Below are 15,091 nucleotides of genomic sequence, written 5' to 3'. Positions count from 1 at the left end.
TGGGGAGGGAAGTGGAGAAAGGGAGGAGAACAGGAACCAAGGAGGGGAGGCTGGATATGGAGGAGAAGAATCTACCCTCTCCCCAGGTGACCTGAAAGGCTGCCTTGGTGTTTCCAGCCCTTTACCTAGCCTTGGGTCTGCCACTGGACTTTCCATTCCACCCCATGGACAGGTCCAGTCCCCAGCAAGACCACACTCTCCCCACTGGGGCTTTAACCTATGCTAGTCAATAGGTTGACTAGACAAGAATGTTGTCTGTCTCTCCATATTAAATCTATTTTGATTTACATTTTCCTAGCTTTCTTGAACTCCTTGTATTTCTTTTTTGGGGGCAACTCCTGGGTAGTTTGTAGTTTTTCTTCTCCAAGCAAAGTGTGCCATCTCCTCCAGGGAGAACTGATTCTCCCTACTGCCCTTCCCTTTATTCCAGCCCCCGCTCCCCCACCCCCAGTTCCTCTCCTCCTGGGGTAGGCACGCGTGCAGCTTCTTGGTAGGCATAGAACTCGGAAGGGGGAAGGGAAGTCCATTCAGTGAGCACCTACTATGTGCCAGGCACCTGCCAGGCCATCTCCACGTTACTACATCTCACCCTCACAGCAACGCCAGAGCTTAGGTCTCCATACCCATTTTACAGGTGAGGAAACGGAGGCTCAGAAGGCGAAGTAAACTGCCAAGGTCATCAGGTCCCATGCTTGTGCTCTGCCCACTTGTCTGGAGGGTCCCAAGGCTTCCACTCCCTGACCCCATAATTGTCACCTAGAACTCAGTAAACCGTGCTCAGAACTGGGCAGGGCCCATGGCTCAGGTAGGGACAGGTGTCCAAGCCTTGCAAGGGGCCTCCCCACACCCACTCCTCTCCGCTGTCGGGTGACTCAGCTTGGGAGGGGACACTGCCCTCGCTGATTCACCCTGGTCTGTCCCTGAGGCCAGGTACCTGGTAGGTGACAGTCCCTGCATAATGTCGCACGGTGAACACGGGCAGGGGCAGCCGGGGCTTGGCATAGCTGGGGTGGTCACCATGGTGATAGTGGCTCTTCTGGAGGAAGGTGTGGTCCGTGGCCTAGGAGAGGAGCCATGAGCTCCCTTCACGCCTCTGCACAGGCTGTCCTTCTGGATGGCGCCCTCTCCCGGTGAGCACGAGTACTGCCTACACTGACTATAAGGGTAGGTTTGGCTTTGTTCCCCAAAACAAGCGCTTTGGGAGGCCGAGGTGGTCGGATCGTTTGAGGATAGGAGTTCGAGATCAGCCTGGGCAACCTAGTGAGATCCCATCTCTACAAAAAATTTAAAAATTGGGCTGGGCGCGGTGGCTCACGCATGTAATCTCAGCACTTTGGGAGGCCGAGACAGGCAGATCACAAGGTCAGGAGTTCGAGACCAGCCTGGCCAACATAGTGAAATCCCAACTCTACTAAAAATACAAAAAATTAGCTGGGCGTGGTGGCAGGTGCCTGTAATCTCAGCTACTCAGGAGGCTGAGGCAGGAGAATCACTTGAACCCAGGAGGCGGAGGTTGCAGTGAGCCACGATGGCACCATTGCACTACAGCCTGGGTGACAGTGCGAGACTCCATCTCAAAAAAAAAAAAAAAAATTAAAAATTAGCTGGGTGGGGCTAGGCGCAGTGGCTCATGCCTGTAACCGCAGCGCTTTGAGGCCAAGGCAGGTGGATCACCTGAGGTCAGGAGTTCAAGACCAGCCTGGCCAACATAGTGAAACCCTGTCTCTACTAAAAATACAAAAAAATTAGCTGGGCATGGTGACTCATGCCTGTAATCCCAGCTACTCAGGAAGCTGAAGCAGGAGAATCATTTGAACCTGGGAGGTGGAGGTTGCAGTGAGCCGAGACCGCACCATTGCACTCCAGCCTGGGCAACAAGAACCAAACTCCGTCTCAAAAAAAAAAAAAAAGAAAAGAAAAAAGTAACATTAGCTGGGTGGAAGGACTGATTGAGACTGGGAGCTTGAGGCTGCAGTAAGCTATGATGGTGTCACTGCACTCCAGCCTGCGTGAGAGAGTGAGACCCCATTTCTAAAATAAGTAAGTACTTAAACAAAAAAAAAAAAAGAAATGGGGATGGGGCACTTTAGTACAGATTTAGCAATCATTCCTGGGAGAATGGTCCCACAATCACATGTGCTTTTAAACAGGTCTTTCAAAGATCACTCTTAGGCCGGACGCGGTGGCTCACGCCTGTAATCCCAGCACTTTGGGAGGCCGAAGCAGGTGGATCACGAGGTCAGGAGATCGAGACCATCCTGGCTAACATGGTGAAACCCCGTCTTTACTAAAAAATACAAAAAATTAGCCGGGCATGGTGGCGGGCACCTGCGGTCCCAGCTACTCGGGAGGCTGAGGCAGGAGAATGGCGTGAACCCGAGAGGCGGAGTTTGCAGCAGTGAGCTGAGATCACGCCACTGCACTCCAGCCTGGGCGACAGAGCAAGGCTCTGTCTCAAAAAAAAAAAAGAAAAAAGAAAAAAAAAGAAATAGAGATGAGGAGCTTTAGTACAGATTTAGCAACCATTCCTGGGAGAATAGTCCCAGAATCACATGCGCTTGTATTTATTTATTTCATTATTATTATTATTATTATTATTATTTTGAGACGAGTCTTGCTCTGTCACCCAGGCTGGAGTGCAGTGGCACGATCTCGGCTCACTGCAACCTCCACCTCCCGGGTTCATGCCATTCTCCTGCCTCAGCCTCCCGAGTAGCTGGGACTACAGGCACCCGCCACCACGCTCGACTCATTTTTTGTATTTTTAGTAGAGACAGGGTTTACACTGTGGTCTCGATCTCCTGACCTCGTGATCTGCCCGCCTCAGCCTCCCAAAGTTCTGGGATTACAGAGATGAGCCACCGCGCCCGGCCTACATGTGCTTTTAACCAAGTCTTTCAAAGATCACTTTCAGGCCAGGTGCGGTGGCTTGTGCCTGTAATCCCAGCACTTTGGGAGGCTGAGGTGGGTGGCTCACAAGATCAGGAGATCAACCATCCTGGCTAACATGGTGAAACCCCGTCTCTACTAAAAATACAAAAAAAAAGAAAAAAAAATTAGCCAAGCATGGTGGCGGGTGCCTGTAGTCCCAGCTACTTGGAAGGCTGAGGCAGTAGAATGGCGTCAACCCGCGAGGCGGAGCTTGCAGTGGGCCAAGATCACGCCACTGCACTCCAACCTGGGCAACAGCGAGACTCTGTCTCAAAAAAAAAAAAAAATCACTTTCAAAAAGTAACTCAGTTGGGAATGATAGTAGGAGTCAGTTAAAACACACATACACAAACACACACAGTAACTCAAGGACAGGTGCAGTAGCTCACACCTGTAATCCCAGCACTTTGAGAGGCAACGGTGGGAGGATTGCTTGAGCCCAGGAGGTTGAGACCAGCCTGGGCAACATAGGGAGACCCCATCTCTATTTTTTAAAATATAAAAATAAAACTAAAAAGTAATTTAGTTGGACGTTATTTTACTGAGCTAATGAACATAAAATAGCAAGTGCATGGGGGAACTTGCCTATATTATGTAAATGAGAACTTGGGTTTGGGGTAACAATTCCAGGCTCAGCACCCACCTCGGACTCAGAAAATGGTACATGTCACATAACATAGACCTAAGTGATATTGCTGAGCCCTGGAAATCCATGCTGGGGGATTCCAAAAGTGATCTTGGGACCTCAAAGACACTCGTGACAAGTTTTAACAAAACATTATGAAATGTGAACTGGGAGAAACAATCGTTTAGAAATTAACACTCTCTTAATTATCTAGTACAAGACTTTACATACGTATAAGTATTAATAAATGAACATTATATATCATATATTAATGTGACTTGTTATATATCAATATATAGTACATGAAGACATGTATTGCATTAATATGACAGTGATCAACGAACTATTACAATAACATTTGATGATTTTACCATTGTTTTTCACCTTTCATTTTCTTTTTTTTTTTTTTTTTTTGAGATGGAGTCTCGCTCTGTCGCCCAGGCTCACGCCATTCTCCTGCCTCAGCCTCCCCAGTAGCTGGGACTACAGGCGCCCACTATCACGCCCGGCTAATTTTTTGTATTTTTAGTAGAGACCGGGTTTCACCATGTTAGCCAGGATGGTCTCGATCTGCTGACCTCGAGATCTGTCCACCTTGGCCTCCCAAAGTGCTGGGATTACAGGCGTGAGCCACCGCGCCTGGCCCATTTTCTTTTCTTTTCTTTTCTTTTTTTTGAGACGGAGTCTTGCTCTGTCCCCAGGCTGGAGTGTAGTGGCACGATCTCGGCTCACTGCAACCTCCGCCTCCTGGGTTCAAGCGATTCTCCTGCCTCAGCCTCCCATGCCTGGCTCACCTTTCATTCTCAACCACTAATTGGGAAAATGGGGGAGGGTTGCCCCATATTCAGGATCACGTTATATTGAGCTTCCACAGAAACTCCTGCTCCACATTCCAGCCTCAGCTCCTAGAGGCTCATGACGCCCCCCAACTCTCCCTGCCCCACACGCCCACCCACGGAGCCGCACAGGGGTGATTTTGTATTTGGCTCTGCGTTTTTGGTTTGTTTTTTTATAATTAATTAGTTTGAAACAACTTCTCACTCTGTCACCCAGGCTGGAGTGCAGTGGCATGATCATGGCTCACTGCATCCTTGACGTCCTGGGCTCAAGCAATCCATCCACCTCAGCCTCCCAAGTAGCTCTAACTATAGGCTCACACCACCACACCAGGCTAATTGTTGTATTTTCTGTAGAGACAGGGTTTTTTCATGTTGGTCTCGAGCTCCTGGGCTCAAGGGATCCACCCACCTTGGCCTCCCAAAGTTCTGGGATTACAGGCGTGAGCCACTGAGCTTGGCCAAGGCCTGTTTTTTTAAATGAACATTTCTCTCCTGCTGCACTGCGGGCTGTAAGAGGGGAGAGACTGGGTCTAATTTTGTTCACCTTTTATCCTTAGCACAGTTCCTGGCACAGTTATTCATTCATTCATTATTTCCTTAACACGTGCTGCAGATAGAGCTCAAACCCTTCACACGGGCACCCGCCCTTGTGGAGCCCAGTCTGGCGCGGTAAGGAGTCAGTGAATGAATAGACGCTGTGACTGCATGTGGACGCGCGCTGAAACGGGAAACAGGGACGAGGCTGCTATTTAAGTCTGAGCAGGCAGGAGGCAGTCAGAAAGCATTTGTGGAATGGGGGACATGGTACCCTGGGGTTTGTCCCCGACCAGTCAGAGGCCTCAGTGGCCACCTAGCCACAATTGTGAGGGACCTGCAGAAGCCCTTCATGAGCCTCGTGCAGTCCCCGCCACCTTGCCCATCGGGCACTACTGTCCCCCTTCTGTGGCAGGTACGTGAGGAACCTCAGAGGCCAGATGTCATGCTCAAGATCACCCCGAGACAAGATGTGAACCCAGCTCTGCGGGAGCCCAGGGTTCTTCCCCTTCGCTGCTGCTGTCCCAGGCTGTGCTGAGGAACTGTGATCAGGGTCGCTGGATCCCATAACCTTGTCCCCTCTGGGAGGCTCTGCCAGCTACAGCCTGGACACCCAGGGCCTCCACTCCTTCCCGACACTGGGTGGGGGGTCACCATCCTGGCCCTTACCTGGGACAGCCATGTCTGGGCGTCCAGGATACTCAGGAGGCTGTGGGGCTGATCTACCAGGAGGTCTAGGCAGGACTCCCTCGGAGGCTGAGGGACAGGCACCCAGGACAGCAACTCCCGCCGACACTCCTCCTGGGAACAGCCGGCATTTGGCCATTTTGCAGGAGCAGGGATAACCCTCCCATCTTATAGAATAGTACATTGAGGCTCAGAAGACTGAGACACCTCATGGAAAGGGGCCTTCCAGGCAGAGCTCTCAGTTCCCAACTTTCCTTCACCAAGGATGGCCTCTGCCTGGGCAATGCCTGAGCGGCCCCTGCCACGTCCACGCCCAATCCTCTTACCTCCTCCTGGGCCAGCAGCATCTGGCTGGAGAAGAGCTGTAGGCGCTCGCTGGCGAGGTTGTTGCACAGTTGCTCCAGGCCATTCACCCGCAGGGCCTGGGGGCATGTGGCAGTGAGGTGGGCACATGGGGCTGTGCCCTCCCCCCACCCCAGAGGCTTCCTTCATTCTGGCCAGGGCGCAGGGATGAGTAATACCCAGGGCTGATGCTGTGTAGCCAACAGGGTCAAGTCTAAAGGATCCGGCACAGCACACGGGCTACCTCAGCCCTGCCCAGCCACAGGTCCCTCTAGCTGCCCACACCCCTGCCCTCTGCTGCAGCACTCCTGCGAGCCTTTGGGCCTCTTGTCACGGCCATCCTGTGGCTTGGAAGGCGACTTTCCCTACTAAATAGCAGGTTGGCTATCAGAGTCCCGCATCCTCATGCACAGGGCTCCAGGCTGCTGCCTCCAGGAAGCCTTCCAGCCTTCCTCCTATAGGAAGTGCTCCCTCAGCACTCTCTTAGGAAGCTTCATGCAGCTTTGTGCCCCTTGAAACACACACACAGGAGCTTGGATGCACACACAGGCCACCATCACCACCAGCCTCAGGGAGGGCACGGTCACAAGGACACACTGGATTGTGGGACAGAACAGGGGGCCATGAATAGTGCCCGTCCAGGGACTGAGGGCAGGGGCCACCTCCTCTCCCTCCAGCCCCCTCCTGGCTGTCCTGAGGCGGCAGGATCCTCTGTAAAGGGGTGCAGAGCCTCTGCCAACTGAGAGAGACTGGGGGACTCTCCCTCTTCCCTTTCCTCCTGACGTGGGGGAAGTGGGGCTACAGGCGGGCCCACCCTGGGGCCTCTGTCTTCCACTGCCTTTGAGACTCCTGCGTCTCTACAAGGCCACGGAGGACAGGCCATGCCAAAGGCAGGACCGGCCAGAGTGGGACAGAACGGCTGCCCTGGAGCACACAGCTCTCTCATGGACTATCTCCGTTAAGCCTCTGAAACTCACAAGGTAGGTCCTGCTGGGAATTCTGTTTTACAGACGGGAACGCTGGACCTCAGAAAGGTTCATCCACTTGCCCAAGGCCACACAGCTAGTGAGTGGCAGGACCACTCAGAGCCTCTGCTCTGTCTGCTGCACTAAGCAACTCCTCCCAGCAGGAGGACAGCACGGGCCAGGGCTGGGGCTTGTGGTGGGCTCCAGCCATCCCAGAGAAGCCAGGAGCACTCCCGGCCCAGGCTGCCCAGCCCAGGACCAGAAAAGGGAGCAGAGACCATGCTTGGATGAACGTGGGTGTGGGGTGAGGGGCATCGTCCTCTGGAGGTGAGTGGAAGCGAGAACTCCAAGGCGCGCAGACAGCCCTAGTCCTTGAGAGATTCTAAATCCTCAGAGGCAGCCCCACTCCTTTACCTCTCCATCCCTGCACCCCACCCCAGCAGGCTCAGCCCAGCAGATGCAGAAGGAGCCCTGAAAGCGCCCTGCCAGACAGACAAGCACCTCGCGAGTGCCCCCAGGGAGAGCTGGAGCTGTGGGGGTCCCAGAAATCCATCGGAATTATATGGGTGCCCCCTTTCCTGGGCCCCACCCCAAGGGGTGACCTCAAAGCCGTAGGCATCCACGACAGTGACGGTGCCAATGCTGCCTCCCTCCCCTGGTGGTGCCAGCCGTGCATTGGTTCTCCTCAGAAGCCGGTGGAAGAGGCGGGAATACAGTGCCTTGGCCAGGGCGTCCCTGTAGGCATGGCGGGTGGGTGAGCCACATAGAGCCGTGCCTCGGGCCCTGCTCTGACTCTCACCCGTCTCTAGGGCCACCTGGCATCAAAGGCACTTTCCACGGGCAGGGATCGCGAGACCTGGCCATAGGGCGTCTCCTGGAGGGCAGAGGAGGCACAGCTGGTGTGTCAGGCCTGCAGCCCTCATGGTGCTTACTCAGCCTGTGGGTCAGCCAGGCCAGGCCCCTCTCCCCAGGACCCTCGGGCTCACCGTGACCCTCCTGGTGACAGCCCCCTCCAGGCACTCTGGTGGTACCCGCAGCAGTCGGGCTGCTGTGTGGATCTCAGCCCAGCTAGACACAGCAGCCACCTCCTGGGACTCTCGCTACACAGAGAGGGAGGGACAGGGAGATCTCTGCTTCAGGAATGGACACACTCCCCAGGCAGGGCAGGCCGGGCTTTGCCTGGTAAGTGGCCCTGTCACCAAAGGGGAGATATGTCACATGAGGAGATCTGGGCCATTAGGAGCGAGGCTATGGTTTTCAGGGCCCTGAGTTCGAGTCCTACTTTCCCTCTTTGCTGGCGGACAGTTCTGGCCAGGCTCCTTCCTTCCTGCGCCCCACGGCCTCACTGCTAAAGGGGAAGCAGTAACCCTTCCTAGGGGGTTGTCTTGCAAACTAAATTAGAAAACAAATGCAAAGTGATTTACACAGTACCCAGGTACATAACAGCTGCTCGTTTGATTTTTTTTTTTCTTTTTTTTTTTTTTTGAGACAGGGTCTCACTCTGTTACCCAGGCCTGAATGCAGTGGCACGATCAAGGCTCACTGCAGCCTCCACCTCCCAGGATCAGGTAATTCTTCCACCTCAGCCTCCCCAGTAGCTGGGATTACAGGCACATGCCACCATGCCCAGCTAATCTTTTTTTTTTTTTTCTTCTGAGACTGAGTCTCGCTCTTGTTGCTCAGGCTGGAGTGCAATGGCATAGTCTTGGCTCACTGCAACCTCCACCTCCCAGGTTCAAGCAATTCTCCTGTCTCAGCCTCCTAAGTAGCTGGGATTATAGGCATGTGCCACCACACCTGGCTAATTTTGTATTTTTAGTAGAGACGGGGTTTCACCATATTGGTCAGGCTGGTCTCGAACTCCTGACCTCAGGTGATCCGCCCATCTAGGCCTCCCAGTGTGCTGGGATTACAGGCATGAGCCACCACGCCCAGTCTGTTTTGTTTTTTTTTTTTTTTCTGAGACGGAGTCTCGCTCTGTCACCTAGGCTGGATGGAGTACAGTGGCGCAACCTCAGGTCACTGCCACCTCCACCTCCCGGGTTCAAGCAATTCTCCTGCCTCAGCTTCTCTAAGTAGCTGGGATGTGCCACCACATCCAGGCACGTGTCACCACACCCAGCTAATTTTTGTATTTTTAGTAGAGACAGGGTTTCAGCATGTTGGCCAGGCTGGTCTCAAACTCCTGACTTCAAGTGATCTGCTCGCCTTGGCCTAATCTGTTCATATTTTTTGTAGAGACAAGATTTTGCCATGTTGCCCAGGCTGCTCTAGAATTCCTGGGCTCAAGTGATCCACCCACCTCGGCCTCCCAAAGTGCTAGGATTACAGGTGTGAGCCACCACCGCCAACCCTTTTTTTTTTTTTTTTTTTTTTTAATAGAGACGGGGTTTCTCTATGTTGCCTAGGCTGGTCTCAAACTCCTGGCTTCACACGATCCTCCTGCCTCGGCCTCCCAAAGTGCTGGGATCACAGGTGTGACCCACCATGCCTGACCATAGCTGCTCATCTAATGCCAGATGTTCTTAGGGGTGGCAGCTTAGAGGCACAGACATTGGGAGAGTGGAGAAGCTCTATGTCTCAGCTTTCTCATCTACACAGTGGGGATCTACCCACTTTTCAGGGCAGCCCAGCACTCTGTAGTCTCCTACACACCAGCATTTGGCGTCATTACCACTGCCCTGATTCTACAGACCCAGCACCCCAGATGGCCCCTGCCCACGGGGAAGCCCACCTCTGAGGAGGAGAAGCAGATGTTGCCCAGCTGCAGGATGGCGGCCAGCACAGCCCAGACGGCATTCAACTCCTCTGGGCACAAGCCGAGCCCCTGCAGTGCCTTCAGCAGCCCCTCAAAGTCCTGGGCATCCTCCTTGCCTTGCAGCCTGCAGGCCTGGCCCTGCAGAGCACAGCAGGGGTGAGGGAGCGGGGCCTGCCACCCCATAGCCTCCCTCTACTCCGGCTACTCCTCAGACCTCCGGGCCGAGATCCTCCTCTGGGCAGGCCTCCCCGCCGCACCACAAGGGCTCCCCCGACCTGGTTGAGGTAGTAGTAAGTCTCCGGTCCCTGCAGGGAGAGCCGCTCCCGCTCTATGGAGTCCAGCCCTGCCAGCAGCTTGTAAAAAACATGGAAGCTCCGCTCAGCCTGGGCCTTGGGGACAGGACTGGCTTAGGGGCTCAGTGCCCTAGGGGCTTAGAGGCCACACCCCGACAGTGACACCCTCTGCCCTTCCTACTCTGGGAACTGGGCAGGGGTGGATAGAAGGGCTGCCTTTACCTGAAACACCACCCTGGAGGTCTCAAGTAGATAATGAGACACAGAGGCTCCCACGATGACCCCTCTGTGGGCACAGAAGATGGGTGTGAGTGCCCAGGATGCAGAACACCCAGGGGCCCCGTGCAGAAGAAGCCCTACCAGGGTCTGGACCCCAGGGAAGCAGCCCAAGGACCCAGGAAGGGTAAGTGATTGTAGGTGCCCCCTGCAACCCTGCCACTCACTGCTGTAGGTAGAGGCAGAAGACCTGGCCGAAGCGGCTGGCATTGGCATTGAGGATGGTCTTGGCATGGCCAAAGCTGCTGAGTATAGGCAGCATATCCTCCACCTGTACAGGGAGGGGTGTTCAAGCATCCCTGGGCAGCAGTAGCCCCCACCAGCAGGCATCCCAGCTAGGGGCAGGTCCAGGGAGGCGTCAGTCCCATCAGAAAGGGCAGTGCCTGCAGCTGACCCCAGGAGACGCCAGAGGCCTGGAGACCACCCCTCTCCTGGCTGAAAGGAGAAAGATAGTCCCTTGGACATGGTCAGCTGTCCCCTGGAGGAAGACAGACGGCCAGCTCAACCCATGAGGTACCTCCAGCCTGGCCCTCACCTGACACTCTCGGTTCCCCGTCTGATCCTGCTCCAGGCTGCTTAGGAACTGCATGATCTTTTTGGCGGCTTCCGTCTTCCCTGAGCCACTGTGCCCACTGCAGTGGGAGGAGCTAAGGATGTGTTGGTTGGTAGGGTCTCCAGGGAGGGGCACATAGGACCACCCCAGTGAACCCAGGAAGTGGGATGTGCCACCCAGAAGTGACAGCTAGCCTGGAGAGACCCCCATAAATGTGGAAAGATAGTCCCAGGGCATGGAGAGACCCGACAGAAAAGAAAAAGTCCCCAAGATGCCACATTCCAGGGGCTCATGTGATGATTTCAGCCAGGAGCTCGGCCCTGAGGAGTCCAGAACTGTAGCCCAGCAGTGGAGCATACCAGTGGCTTCCAGTGAAGACCTCAGGCCCCGCCCCATCAACCCTCAGTGTGGCCCATGGGTTCAGCCACCCAGGAAGGCCACCACTCACCACAGGAGGATGCATGGGTCCTGCCCAGTATTCTGAGCCAGGTCATAGGCTGATGCCACGATGGCAAAGATGTGTCTGAGGGAGATGAGAAGGTTGCCAGACATGGGGACCTGGGACCCTCCGAGGTGTAGCAGAGGTGCTCACAGGCCCCGGGACCTCAGTCAAGGGGACATGCAGGGACTGGGCTGCCTGGGAGGTGAGCAGAGGGTCAGTGGGGCAGAGTCACATACGGAGTGGTGCTGAGGGCCTTCCTGGGGTGGTAGCTTGCCTGGACCTCAGGTGAAAAAAGAGGCAAGGACCGGTGGGGGTTCAGAACAAGCAAGACAGGCCCCCCAAAGGTCTGGGGAGGAAAACAAGCTCTCATCAGAGTGTGGAGGGAGCAGGGGGAATGCAAACAGAGCCCAGCCCCTCAGTCCCACTCTGCAGGGCTCCAGAGAGGGTTCACCGCCTAGCCCGGGGAGGAAGAGGAAGGAGAATCTCCAGGGGTGCCAGGGAGCCCTCTGTCCCCAGAGAAAAGGGGATCCCCGCCCACTGTCCGTCCCCGTGGCTCCCCATACATAGATACGGCCCAGGTGAAATCTCTTCTTGAGGCACAGCAGCACAGAGCTGTCACACACCAGCCTGTAGGGACAACAGGGTGGAGGCATGACAAGTTGTGGCTGCAGGAGGTTGTGGGTTAGTTCTGCCACCCACTGCAGGGACCCTGGCAAGTCATTCAACTTCCCAGAGCCTGATCCATAAAATGGGGGCTGAGCTGTCAAGTAATGCGCAGGCTACAAGGAGGGCTGGCTCTGACCCAGAAGGAAGCTTTGTACTAATTAGAAAGGCGGTCCTGGGGACGTAGCACCTGTTGCCCCTTACCTGCCCCTTCCTGCCAGGAGGGTTCAAGCCCATCCTTCTAAGGATTCAATAAGGGTCTACACGCAATTCATAAAGATGAGGGCAGGGTGGATATGAGGAGCTGTGAGCCGGGGATGGCAGCTTTGGCACCGCGCCCGCTAACCGCAACCGCGCCAGGTCCTCCATGTCTTCCAGGCCGTCTCCGAGGCTCCTGCCCTTGGCACCGGGGAAGGGTGGCGCCTCCAGGCCCGGCCGGAGGCTCAGCTCCAGGTCCCTCTCCAGCACCGCCTCGTCCTCATCCTCGGGTTCCCACAGCTCCCTCAGGGACCCACGGAGGCCCGGGTCTCCCTCCTGCTGCAGGCGGGTCTCCAAGGAGAGTCGGGGTAGCAGCACGGCGGCGCCAAGCCTAGGACCCTCGTGGGGGCCTGAGCCCTGCGCCCAGCGCACCGGGGGCTCGTCATTGAGGGTCTCCAACTCCGCCTCACTGCTGGAGCCGCTCTCGTCGAGGGAAGGCCCGTCGGGTGCAGTCGGGGCAAGGAGGGAGCCGCGACGAAGCCCGGACACCCCTTCCCCACTCGTCCTGCACCCCTCACTGTGCCCCCCCACCCCTGCACGAGGCCAACCTCGGCCTTCCCCCGTGGGGGCATCTGCGGACGCTTCTTCAGAGCTGCGGCTGCTCGACGCCCGCCCTGCCCTGTGGATCCTGGGGAACACGACCGCGAACTTGGGATCTGGAGTCTCGTCCTCCTGATCAAAAGGGTCGCCGGGGACTGGGCTTGTCGGGACCTGCGGGGAGCGGCCACCAGGGGAAGCCCTCGGCATACCCCCCAGCCCTGCTAAGCCAGCCAGGCGCAACGCTAGACGGTGCCGCAGCCCGGGCTCACGGCCCCACCCCTCGTACCCTCTCTGGTGGTCCCGGCCCTCGTCACCTCTCTCGTGACCCCGCCCCTCGTCCGCTTTCCCGCAGCCCCGCCCCTCGTACCCTCGCTCGTGGCCCCGCCCTTCGTCCGCTTTCCCGCGGCCCCGACCCTCGTCCCCTCGCTCGTGGCCCCGCCCTTCATCCGCTTTCCCGCGGCCCCGCCCCTTGCTTCCTCTCCCATGACCCCGCCCCTCGTCCGGTTTCCGGCGGCCCCACCCCTCGCTCGCCCGTGGCCCGGTACCCTGCCCCTCGCCCTCTGGCGGCCGCCGCCGCAGCCGCAGCCGCCGCCGCAGCCAGCGCAGGAGGCCCAGGGCTCGCGCTACACTCAGGAGCCGCTCCTTGAGGCCAGCGCGGCGGGGGCCCACGGCCTGGGAAGCGGCGCCTGGCGGGGGCCTCGCGAGGAGCCTGCGGACCACCAGGAGGGCCGCCAGCGGGGCTGGGTCCTCCGGCCCCGCTCCTGCTGCGGCTCCCGCTTCGCCCTCGCCTGCCGCCGCTGGCACCTGCCCCACCGCCTTTCCGACCTGGTGGCGCGGAGCCCGGGCCGTCGAGGCCTGCATTGTTTCTGGCTCGGCGCCCCGCTGCGCCCGGTTGTCGCTCGCGTCCTTGGCCGGCCCAGTGTCCCGAGGAGCCCGCGAGCTGTCCTCGAAGGTCCTGGAGGCCATAGCTGCCCGAGAGCCCCGTCCAGGTCCGGTCCCCAGCGGACTCGAGTCGGAGTCCCCGCCGGAATGCTCGCTGGCTCCCAGGGGCCCCGTCCCCGACGACCCTTCCCGGCCCCGGGTATCTGCGTGGGGCCAGTCGCTGTCCAGGCCGTCGCTGCTTGGCTCCAGCGCTGACTCCGGCCCGGTTTTTGTCCCTTCCGAGCCCATGTCCGTAGGCTCCGGCGTGGGCCGCAGCTCCCGGGCTGTGCCGCGCTGGCTGCCGCTCTCCTGGGCCTCGCGGGTTTCGCTGTCCGGACAGGAGCTGCCTCCGTCCCCACCCGACGTGTCCCCATTGAGGCTCCTGGGCGTCCGGCGGCCCCGCCGAGCCGAGGGCCCCTTATCTTTCCGCTTCCTCCTACGGCGGCCGCCCAGCTCTTCTCCTCCGGAGAGGCTTCCCTCCTCCAGGCGCCCCCCGCGGCCGCCCCTGGGCCCGCGTCCCTGACGCTGCGCGTTGCTTTGCCTCTCCTGGGCTTTCGGGGACAGCCCAGCCCCTGGGCGTCTGCAGCCGCCGTTCCCCTCTGCAGTGGGCTTCCTGCGGCCACCAGGGGTTCCCTGGCCCCCGGCGGTGGCAGGCTCGGCCGCCGGTTTCGCCCTGTCCGCCTGCCCGCGGTCGGAACGGCGTTCCCGGCTGGGCGCGCCATCCGCGCTGGCCGACCCCGACTCCTGCTCCCCTGAGGCCGGCCTCCCGGGCCTCTCCAGGCGCTGGGGCGCTTTGCGCTGGTTCCTGCCCATGGCTGGCCCAAAGGAGACGGGCTTCCCGACGCCCAGGTCCTTTCCCCTCCCCGGGGATTTGGCCTCCCGCGGTGACCTTCTGTGCAGTGCACCACCCGGCTCTGCTCTCGCAGGGGCTACAGGCTCTACTCCCCGAGGTGCCCGCCTTACAGGACCATCAATAATGCAGAAGGCGGCGGGTCCTGACCCCCTCGGCCAACAATGGAATAGAGGCGCCCAGGAAACAGGAGACGCTACAGCTGCGGACAGGGCAACAGTGCCGCCGGGAGGCGCTGCCAGCCAGGCCAGCCTCGCACCGCGCCAGACTGAGGGGGTCCATGCTCCACTCCCACCTCAGTGCTTGCCCAGCAAGGAAGGGCCCAGAGAACCTGTCTGGACTTCTTCCTTCTGAGGGTTCCAAGGGACTGGGGCCAGGCCCACCCTGGCACACGGCAGCACTCCATGAGTCGCTAGGGTTTTTGTTCTTTTCAATTGTGGAATAAATACAATTTACCGAAAAGTACATAAAACATAAATGTACATCTTGAACTGGTGTAAAACATGCCTGTCTACCTCCTTGGAGTTGTGGAACAGAACCACACCCCATACATTCCTGATTGCCCCAATGTGTGTGTTTTTAAAATATCTATTTTTAAAACAGGTAATACATTC

The 15,091-nt window shown here is 57.7% G+C and overlaps 1 protein-coding gene across 26 annotated transcripts in view, besides 6 other annotated features; it reads right to left on the bottom strand.

Moving 5' to 3' along the window:
• Positions 1 to 14,698, bottom strand: part of MYO15B (myosin XVB) — a 39,050-nt gene extending 24,352 nt beyond the window's left edge. For 8 of the 26 annotated variants that reach the window (XM_017025120.3, XM_017025123.3, XM_017025125.3 and 5 more), the window contains exons 1-16: positions 13,532 to 14,698; positions 12,255 to 12,877; positions 11,809 to 11,872; positions 11,482 to 11,591; positions 11,252 to 11,326; positions 10,786 to 10,897; positions 10,418 to 10,521; positions 10,197 to 10,260; positions 9,957 to 10,070; positions 9,658 to 9,819; positions 7,910 to 8,023; positions 7,739 to 7,797; positions 7,526 to 7,658; positions 5,943 to 6,038; positions 5,599 to 5,730; positions 935 to 1,060 (exon numbers count right to left, since the gene is read on the bottom strand). In XM_017025120.3, coding sequence (XP_016880609.1) covers positions 935 to 1,060; positions 5,599 to 5,730; positions 5,943 to 6,038; positions 7,526 to 7,658; positions 7,739 to 7,797; positions 7,910 to 8,023; positions 9,658 to 9,819; positions 9,957 to 10,070; positions 10,197 to 10,260; positions 10,418 to 10,521; positions 10,786 to 10,897; positions 11,252 to 11,326; positions 11,482 to 11,591; positions 11,809 to 11,872; positions 12,255 to 12,877; positions 13,532 to 14,440 — 2,997 coding nt within the window. In that variant the 5' untranslated portion in view covers positions 14,441 to 14,698. The other 18 variants (XM_017025122.3, XM_017025121.3, NM_001395058.1 and 15 more) reach the window with 18 other exon arrangements.
• Positions 12,827 to 13,426: a silencer, noted in NCBI's record as "silent region_8974". NCBI's record gives its function as "represses an Ori minimal core promoter by ATAC-STARR-seq in GM12878 lymphoblastoid cells {active_cell/tissue: GM12878}" and the evidence as "EXISTENCE:reporter gene assay evidence [ECO:0000049][PMID:35858748]".
• Positions 12,827 to 14,048: a biological region, named in NCBI's record as "H3K27ac-H3K4me1 hESC enhancer GRCh37_chr17:73584531-73585362".
• Positions 13,217 to 14,048: an enhancer, noted in NCBI's record as "H3K27ac-H3K4me1 hESC enhancer chr17:73584531-73585362 (GRCh37/hg19 assembly coordinates)". NCBI's record gives its function as "activates a minimal SCP1, AML or CMV promoter by ChIP-STARR-seq in naive H9 embryonic stem cells {active_cell/tissue: H9 hESC(naive)}" and the evidence as "EXISTENCE:reporter gene assay evidence [ECO:0000049][PMID:30033119]".
• Positions 13,467 to 13,596: a silencer, noted in NCBI's record as "silent region_8973". NCBI's record gives its function as "represses an Ori minimal core promoter by ATAC-STARR-seq in GM12878 lymphoblastoid cells {active_cell/tissue: GM12878}" and the evidence as "EXISTENCE:reporter gene assay evidence [ECO:0000049][PMID:35858748]".
• Positions 14,049 to 14,882: an enhancer, noted in NCBI's record as "H3K27ac-H3K4me1 hESC enhancer chr17:73583697-73584530 (GRCh37/hg19 assembly coordinates)". NCBI's record gives its function as "activates a minimal SCP1, AML or CMV promoter by ChIP-STARR-seq in naive H9 embryonic stem cells {active_cell/tissue: H9 hESC(naive)}" and the evidence as "EXISTENCE:reporter gene assay evidence [ECO:0000049][PMID:30033119]".
• Positions 14,477 to 14,546: an enhancer, noted in NCBI's record as "active region_12770". NCBI's record gives its function as "activates an Ori minimal core promoter by ATAC-STARR-seq in GM12878 lymphoblastoid cells {active_cell/tissue: GM12878}" and the evidence as "EXISTENCE:reporter gene assay evidence [ECO:0000049][PMID:35858748]".

This window comes from Homo sapiens, chromosome 17, assembly GCF_000001405.40.
Source record: "Homo sapiens chromosome 17, GRCh38.p14 Primary Assembly".
In the NCBI taxonomy this organism is placed as follows: domain Eukaryota; kingdom Metazoa; phylum Chordata; class Mammalia; order Primates; family Hominidae; genus Homo; species Homo sapiens.
The sequence above is the reverse complement of the archived record's forward strand: the minus strand, read 5'-3'. Positions and strand labels throughout refer to the sequence as shown.